At 39.0% G+C, this 9328-nt stretch overlaps 1 pseudogene; it reads left to right on the top strand.

The window, feature by feature from the left end:
• On the top strand, window positions 7285-8715 carry EPS15P1 (epidermal growth factor receptor pathway substrate 15 pseudogene 1; annotated as a pseudogene).

Here is a 9328-nt window from a genome sequence, read left to right on the forward strand (position 1 = left end):
GAGTAAGAAAAGCTACATGAAGCAAGTAGAACAGAACAACTTGTTCCCTATGTGCTGGCCATTGGCCTGCGTGGGCATCCAGCCCTACCATGGAATATCTTTTCTGTAAGCAACAATAGAACCTCATTACAACTGGGATGCTTATGACAGGGCAAGAAGTCTCATAACTATGATTTTTTTCCTTTGTGCTACTCTTTCTACTGATCACTAGCAAACCTCCCCCCAAAATTGGGTATTGTATCTTTCCCTAAAGTTATCCACTTATCCATAATCTTCTTGAGCCAAAAGTGACTCCAGAAATCAATGTATTCAAGCAATATCATTTGATAATGTTGTTTATTCATCTAAAGTGAACTAATTATCTATCAAGATGTGAAAGTCTTATGGTATGCCCAATTCTTTTTTTCAAAGTACAATGAATTTCTTCAAAAGACTGTAACTGTAATGAGCCCTGAATTTCTACAAACAAGCTCATCCAAGAAATCTGTATACTGTCCAACACTCACCCTCCCAAAACAAAACTGGTCATCCCAGCTTCGACTCATCTATTATTTTATACAACAAATGGGAGAGATTTCCAGTTGTCCAGGCACTATGCTGTTTGTTGGGATTATAAAAATTCACCCAGTGAAAACATCCCTGTCTTCACAGTTATATTCTACTGAGCAAGGAACATATATAAACAAATAGTTACAATAGGGTATCAGAATGTTAATGATATAATTCAATACAGGGTAAAAATGAATACAGATTCAGCATCATCAGTTATTCCCTGGAACATCAGAAAAGACTTTAGAGAGTGTTAGTCACAAAACAGTCTAAATGTTCAATAAGAGTTTTTAGTTATGAAATGGGAAAGTGATCTCAGGAGAGATGTGACTAGATAATCTATGGTAGAAATTACACGATGACCTTGGGAAACTAAACTAATTGGGCATGGTCAAAATTTAAAATCTGATCTCTATTGCTATGAGAGTTGAGATAGGAGAGACAGGCAGGGGACTGGTAATGGGGACATGCTAGGAGCTTTCACTTCCTTCTCAAATCCTCCTCAACCTCACACAAATAGAGATTAGAGCCTTATGTCCCTAAGCTGCTTAAGTCTTCAGCTTTTAAGACTCCATAGTATACTATTCAAATTTCATAATCATACATTACAATGTGTTTTCAAGGACTATTATTTTATTTGTCTGAAACATTCTCTCATGGCTCATTATTTCACAACTGATCTTCGTGCATAAAACACTGTTTATGTGTAGCACATTCTATGAAACATAAAACCAATGTTTCCAAAGGCACTGTTTTATCATGGCTCATCTAGATTCCAAAGTCCACAATAACCCGGATGATCCATGTGGTCATATCATGCTCTTCACAAGTACATGCCTCTGCTTTATAACACTTGCAACAATATTGACTCAACTGTCCCAATTCCAATTCTTTCTGGGAGTGAGGGATTATGCTTCTCCTTGCTCTCAAACTCCATTCTAAGTCCTGAGTTTGTTCATTCTAAGTCTAAAAAAAAAAAATACATAAAAGAGAAACAACCCTCTTTATAACTTCAAAATACCTCAAGGTCACCAAAAATCTTACCTCTAGTATGAAGGACTTGACAATAATATATAATGACTACTTAAACCACAGGACTCCTAAATTCCATCAGATTAGAGGCTGTTACCTTAACATTTGGTGCTCAATGAGCATTTACTGAATAAGGTGAATAACTGATTAATCTCCTACCTTGTTCCATGAGGGCAGGGATCATACCTGATTTATTCCTGGCACTATGTCTGGCACAAAACAAATGGTTAATAAATGATTGTCAAATGAACTTCCCCTTTTCTTATGACACAAAACACAACCTTATGTTCTTGGTACATGATATACATTATGTTCTTCGTACATGATTATCACCACAGGACTACGTTATTTTTGCTGTCTCCTAGTGCCTTTATTTTATGAATACATGTCTTCTTCCTCTAACAGAAGGCAAACTTGTCATTATTTTCTTCTGCTTATTCAATGCAGCAAACATTCACTGAGCCTACCAGTTCTGTTATGCATTTAAAGGATACAACAATAAATAAGATGTAGTGACTCAAGGAACAAACTCATGAAACTAACATGTTAACACCTGATGAACACATTGTGTCCCAGAAAAGTTGATAGGAAAAGATGTTTAATTCTAATGAAGAGAAAATGGAAGACTCTGGAGAAAGGGTCTCTTGATTTGGCCATGTGGATGCAAGAACATCTATGAACAAAAGGGGGCAGCAAAGTTTGGGAACGTCTAAAAAAATGAGTGTAACTAAGATGTAGAATACATGAAAAAGAATAATGAGGGGAGAGGTGGAGCAAGGTGGCAGAATAGAATGCTCCACTTATCATCTCCCCAACAAGGACACCTATTTAACAACTATCTACACACAAAAAAACACCTTCATAAGAACCAACAATCAGGTGAGCACTCACAGTATCTGGTTTTAACTTCATATCACTGAAAGAGGCACTGAAGAGGTAGGAAAAACAGTCTTGAATCATCTATGCCTCCCCTCCCTCATCCTTTGGCAGTGGCTTTGCAGCATGGAGAGAGAATATGTCCACTTGGGAGAGGGAGAGTGCAGCAAGTGTGAGACATTGCATTTAATTCAGTGCTGCTCTGTTATAGCAGAAAGCAAAATTGGACCAAACTCAGCTGATGCCCACCTACAGAGAAAGCCTTTCAACCAGCCCTAGCCAGAGGGGAATCACCCATCCTGTCAGTCAGAACTTGAGTTCCTGCAAGCATAGCCACCTTGGGCTGGAGTGCTCTGGGGCACTAAGTAAACTTGAAAGGCATCTAGGCCACAAGGTCTGCAACTCCTAGGCAAGTTCTAGTGCTGAACTCAGTTCAGAGCTAGTGGACTGGGGCGGGGAGGGGTACATGATGTACTGAGACACCAGTCAGGGCAGCTAAGGGAGTGCTGGTTCCACCCCTCCTCTATCCTGAGGCTGCAGAGCTCGTTGCTCCAATATAGACCCCTTCCTTCTGCTTAAAGAGAGGAAATGGAAGAATGGGGAGGAATTTGTCTTGCATCTGGGATATCAGCTCAGCCACAGCAGGATAGGACACTGGTCAGAGTCATGAGGCCCCCTTTTCAGGCCTTAGCTCCTGACCAACATTTTTAGCCACATTCTGGGACAAAAGGGAAACCACCCCCTTGAAGAGAAGAACCCAGTCCTGGCAAGATTCATCAGTGGCTAACTGAAGAGCCCCTGCACCCTAAATAACCAGCTGATACCTATGTAGCATGTCATGAGCTTTGGATGAGATCCTGAAACTTGTTGGCTTCAGGTGAGACTCAGAACCTTCCCAGCTATGGTGACTATGGGGAGAGATTGTTTCTCCTTGAGAAAAATGGAGGAACAAGTAAAGGAGACTTTGTCTTGCACATTAGGTACCATCTCTGCCACAGCGGGGTAGAATGTCAAACAGGCTCTTTGGGTACCTGAGCCAAGGTATCGAGACCTTGGCTCTTAGATGGTATTTCTAGACCTGCTCTAAGCCAAAGAGGAGTCCACTGCCCTGAACGGTGAGTCCCACATCAGTCAGCATTCACCATAATCTGACTGCAAAGCCCTTGAGTCTTAAGGAAACATTAACAGTAGCCTGGCAGTACTCTCTATGGGCCTGTGGTGCAACAGCCATGGGGTGAGGCTCCTCTGCCTTTGGAAATGGGAGGGAAGAGTTGGAAGGACTACATCTTGTGGTTTGAGTGCCAGCACAGCTCCAGTACAATAGAACACAAGGTAAACTTTTAAGTTTTTTAACTCTCATCCCTGGCTCCTGGACAGCATATCTGGACCTGGCCAGGGAACTCACTACCCTGAAGGAAAGGACACAGGCCTGGCTGGCTTTGCCACTTGTTGGTGGTAGAGCCTCAGGGCCTTGAGAGAACATAGATGGTAGCCAAAGAATGGTTCCAGCAAGCCTTGAGTGAGACCCAGTCCTGTGTTAGCTTCATGTATGACCCAACACAGTCCTAGTGCTGGTGGCCACAGGGGTGTTTATGTCACTACACCCCTAGCTCCAGGCAGCTCAGAACAGAGAGAGACTCCATTTGTGTAGTAGAAAGTAACAGAAGAGAACAAGAGACTCTGCCTGGTAATCCAGAGATTCCTTCTAGATCTTGTCCAAGACCTTCAAGGTGATACCTCTATGAGTCGGCAAGAACCACAGCACTACTGGACTTTGGGTGCCCCCTAATGCAGATACAGCATAGATCACAACACTTAAGTATTTTGGAACACCTGGAAAGACTTCCCAAGAAGGATGAGTACAAACAACCCTAGACTGTGAAGACTACAGTAAATACCTAACTCTTCAATGCGCAGACACCAACAAACATCCACAAGCATCAAGTCCATTCAACATAATATGACCTCACTAAATGAGTCAAATAAGACACCAGGGACCAATCCTAGAGAAACAAAGATATGTGACCTTTCAGACATAATTCAAAATAGCTATTTTGAGGAAACTCAAAGAAATTCAAGAAAACACAGAGAAGGAATTCAGAATTCTATCAGAGAAATTTAACAATGAAATTGAAATAATTTAAAAGAATTAAGCAGTTCTGGAACTGAAAAATGCAATTGGCATATTGAAGAATGCATCAGAGTCTTGAGAGCAGAATTGATTAAGCAGAAGAAACAATTTGTGAGCTTGAAGACTGGCTATTTGAAAATACATAGAGAAGACAAAAGAAAAAACAGTAAAAAACAATGAAGCACACCTACAGGATCTAGTAAATAGCCTCAAAAGGGCAAATCTAAGAGTTAATTGGAATTAAAGAGAAAGATAGGAGCAGAAAGTTTATTCAAAGGGATAACAACAAAGAACTTTCCAAACATAGAGAAAGATCTCAATATTCAAGTAGAAGAAGGTTATAGAATACCCAGCAGATTTAACCCACAGATGACTACCCTCAAGGCATGTAATAATCAAAATCCCAAAGGTCAAGGATAAAGAAAGGATCCCAAAACAGCAAGAAAAAAGAAACAAATTAATATACAATAGATCTCCAGTATGTCTGGTAGCAGACCCAAAAGATATTGGCATGACATATTTGAAGTGCTGAAGGAAAAAATATTTTACCCTAGAATAGTATACCCAGCAAAAATATCCTTCAAATATGAAGGGAAAATAAAGACTTTCCCAGACAAATAAAAGCTGAGGGATTTCATTAACATCAGACCTGTAGTACAAGAAATGCTAAAGTGAGTATGTCAATCAGAGAGAAAAGGACTTTGATGAGCAATGAGAAATCATCTGAAGGTACAAAACTCATCATTAATAGTAGGTGACCAAAAACCAGAATATTATAACACTGTAACTGTGGTGTGTAAACTACTCTTAGGTAGAAAGACTAAACAATTAACTAATCAAAAATAATAATTCCAACAATGTTTCAAGACATAGACAGTACACTAAGATATAAATAGAAGTAGCAAAAAGTTAAAACTTGGGGGGAAAAGGTAAAGTGTAGAGTCTTTATTAGGTTTTTTTCTTACCTGTTTATTTATGCAAACCATGTTTTTATCAGCTTAAAATAATGGGTTACAAGATGGTATTTGCAAGCTTCATGGTAACCTCAAACCAGAAAACGTTTAACAAATACAACAAAAAATAAGAAGCAAGAAATTAAATCATATAACCAGAGGAAATAACCTTCACTAAAAGGAAGACAGGAAGGAAGGAAGGAAGGAAGGAAGGAAGGAAGGAAGGGAGGGAGGGAGGGAGGGAGGGAGGGAAGGAAGAAGGAAGACACAGCCGCAAAACAACCAGAAAACAAATAACAAAATGGCAGGAGTAAGTCCTTACTTATCAGTAACAACACTGAATATAAATGGACTAAACTCTTTAATCAAGAGTTTAATCAGAATTTAATCAAAAGATCTTAACATATCTCACTGTTTCAATTTAAGTGTTTAATAACCATCTCAAAATAAACTCTTTCAAAATTGAGTTTCTTGATTTTCCCCATAGGATTTCTATTCAACTAATTGTTTTGATGTCAGTGAGAAAGCATCACTGTTGTCCACTGTGTTAAAAACAAAAACTAGAAAATATCCTTTATTTCTCTCAATATCATATCCCATATCCAGTTGCCATCAAGTCCATTTGGCTCTATCTATCCATAAGTTGATCATTTTGTATAGTCTCCACGTAGACAAATTATCAAATTATCTACCATTACAAATCTCTTTGCTTTCCACTATTTTTCATATAGTCTATTCTTAGTCTTTGCAAAGCAGCCAGTATGATGTTTTTAAAACAAAACTCAAGGCAGAGCCAGGCCAGGTAGCTCACGCCTGAAATCCCAGCACTTTGGGAGGTCTAGACAGGCAGATCACCTGGAGTCAGGAGTTCAAAATCAGCCTGGCCAACATGGTGAAGCCCCGTCTCTACCAAAAATACAAAAATTAGCTGGGAATAGTGACATGTGCCTGTAATCCTAGCTACTTGGGAGGCTGAGGCAGGAGAATCACTTGAACACAGGAGGCAGAGGTTGCAGTGAGCCAAGACTGTGCCATTGCACTCCAGCCTGGGCAATAGAGTATTTGCAAGTTTCATGGTAACCTCAAACCAGAAAACATACAACACGCACACACACACACAAACTCAAGGCATATCACTTCTCTTTTTAAATCTCTTAGACTCTCCTGCACACAGGAAGGAATCTAAGGTTTCCCTATGGGCACCAGACTCCATGTAATCTAGTCTTTGGCCACCTCTGATCTCATCTGCTAAAATCATTTCAATCTCTCCTTACTCAGTCCATCCCAAGCCATCCCTGGAAGGTTTCATCCCAACTGGTTCTCACATCCAGTCTTTGCACTTCAGCTGTCTGTCCCTTGAATGCTTCCACAAAACATAGCAGGGGAACTATTATTTAGGCCTCTGTTCAAGTATCACCTCCTTCAAGTGGTCTTTCCTGAGTGTCCACTCTAAGGAGCCTCCCTTCTGTCACCATTTAGCTGTATTTCCCTTTACTTACAGCAAAATTGTAACTAGATAATGCATTACATGTTTTTCTGTTGCATGTATATTCTGTTTCTTTCTCATAAATGTAAACCCTCCTATGGCCCAAATCTTCATTTGCCTTTTTAACTCCTTTATCTCCAGCATGTGGAGCACACTTGGTACACATTAGGAGCTGAAATGCTCCATAGCTGCTGAATCAGTAGCACCAACATGTGTACCCACCACCTTCTCAAGTGTGGCTTTATAAGATGTTCATCATGGTTGAGTGAGGATAAGGGAAAGAATAGTCTGTTTCTTTTATGATATGGTTTGGCTGTGTCCCCATGCAAATCTCATCTTGAATTCCTATGTGTTGTGGGAAGGACCCTGTGGGAGGTCATTGAATCACGGGGGCAGGCCTTTCCCATGCTGTTCTGGTGATAGTGAATAAGTCTCACAAGATCTGATAGTTTTAAAAGGAGGAGTTCCCCTGTACAAGCTCTCTCTCTTTGCCTGCTGCCATCCATGTAAGACGTTACTTGCTCCTCCTTGCCTTCCACCATGCTTGTGAGATCTTCCCAGCCAAGTGGAATTGTAAGTCCATTACACCTCTTTTTCTTCCCAGTCTTGAGTATGTCTTTATCAGCAGCCTGAAAATGGACTAACACATTTTATGATTGGTGCAAATTGGCTACTGATAAAAATCCTGATGATAGGAAAATTTCAAATTTCCTTATAGTAAAAATACTACTTAATTTAATTTTTAGAGACAAGGAAAAACATTTTGCAGAGTTTGGCTCCACTATTGAAAAAGGGATGCTTTAGGTTGAACCATTGTAGCCTCAGATTCTATCTTTTCCTAAATAAACACATTAAAGCCTCATGTGTGAAATTATTTTTTAAAAATATTTATCTGGATTTAAAGAATAACAGATCAACAGATACCTCTCAATGTGTTTGCTAATTAATAAAAATCAGTTTCTTACAACTAATGTTTGTAAGAAAATGTTCATTTTAAGTGCTAAATAGTGAAGAAAATTTATCACCTAAAATACACCCATCAATATAAGGCAAGAAAAAATCTTAACATGCAGCCATTCGCTTTTGCCATGCCCTGTCCTGTTTACTTCTTAAGAGGTTTATTTTTGTACTTTTGCAGAATAAACTTTAGTAATCTAGAACTGGAAGGTACTATATATGTATGTGTGTGTATATATATATATAAAAGAAAAACATATATATATTTCAATTACTTGAAATGTAAAAACTTACCGAATACAAATGGAAAAAGTGATGTGTATTATATCATATTGCTTTTTGTCCATCTTTGTGATTTATTTACTCACTTCATGTTTTTCATTTACAAAATTGTCAAGTTAGCCAAAATAATTCTTGTTTTCTTAATTGGGAGAGAAGAGACCTGACAGATTATCTATACTCTTCATATGTTAAAAGACCATTTCCTGTAAAACTGACCTAGTGCACAAACTGAATTTGAAATAGACTGTGAAGTAAACTATAACTTGTCCTTTTAATTTTGTTTAACATGGTTACTGACTTACATGATGTACTGAATATCAAGATAAAGAAAAATGTGTCTAAAAGCTAATTAGAATTCTCTGGGTCACCAAGTCAAGGTGCTATTGATCTGGGTTAATCTGAGTAACTTATTGTCTAGCCTATAAATAAGTTCCAAAATATCGAATTCAAAAAAAAAAAAAAAAAAAAAAAAGAAGATCTCCCAATCACCACTATTGGGTCCTGGAAGAAATCTTCTGTTATAAGGTTTTGAGAGGTCTTAAAAACAACTTATAAATAGTATGTGATTATAGATGTACAAATATAGACGTGCGTGATAAATCTAGGTCCATGAAAACAAGTGAGGGCCGGGCGTGATGGCTCATGCCTGTAATCCCAGCACTTTGGGAGGCTGAGGGGGGCGGATTACCTGAGGTCAGTTCAAGACCAGCCTGGCCAACGTGGTGAAACCTCATCTCTACTAAAAATCCACAAAATTAGTGGGTGTGGTGGCACATGCCTGTAGTCCCAGCTACTCAGGAAACTGAGAAAGGAGAATCACTTGAACCTGGAAGGTGGAGGTTGCAGTGAGCCAAGATCACGCCACTGTACTCCAGCCTGGGCGACAGAGTAAGACTCCATCTCTAGGGGGGAAAAAAAGGCAAGATTCTGGGTCAGATTACCAGATACCAATTTTTAATCATTAGTTGTTTTACTTGAGAGGATTTTTAGAAAAACAACTTAGCCTTACATTCCTGGTATGTCAAGGAAAAAAGCAAACAAAATACATAAAATAAAAATAAA

This window comes from Homo sapiens, chromosome 7 (assembly GCF_000001405.40).
Source record: "Homo sapiens chromosome 7, GRCh38.p14 Primary Assembly".
NCBI lineage: Eukaryota > Metazoa > Chordata > Mammalia > Primates > Hominidae > Homo > Homo sapiens.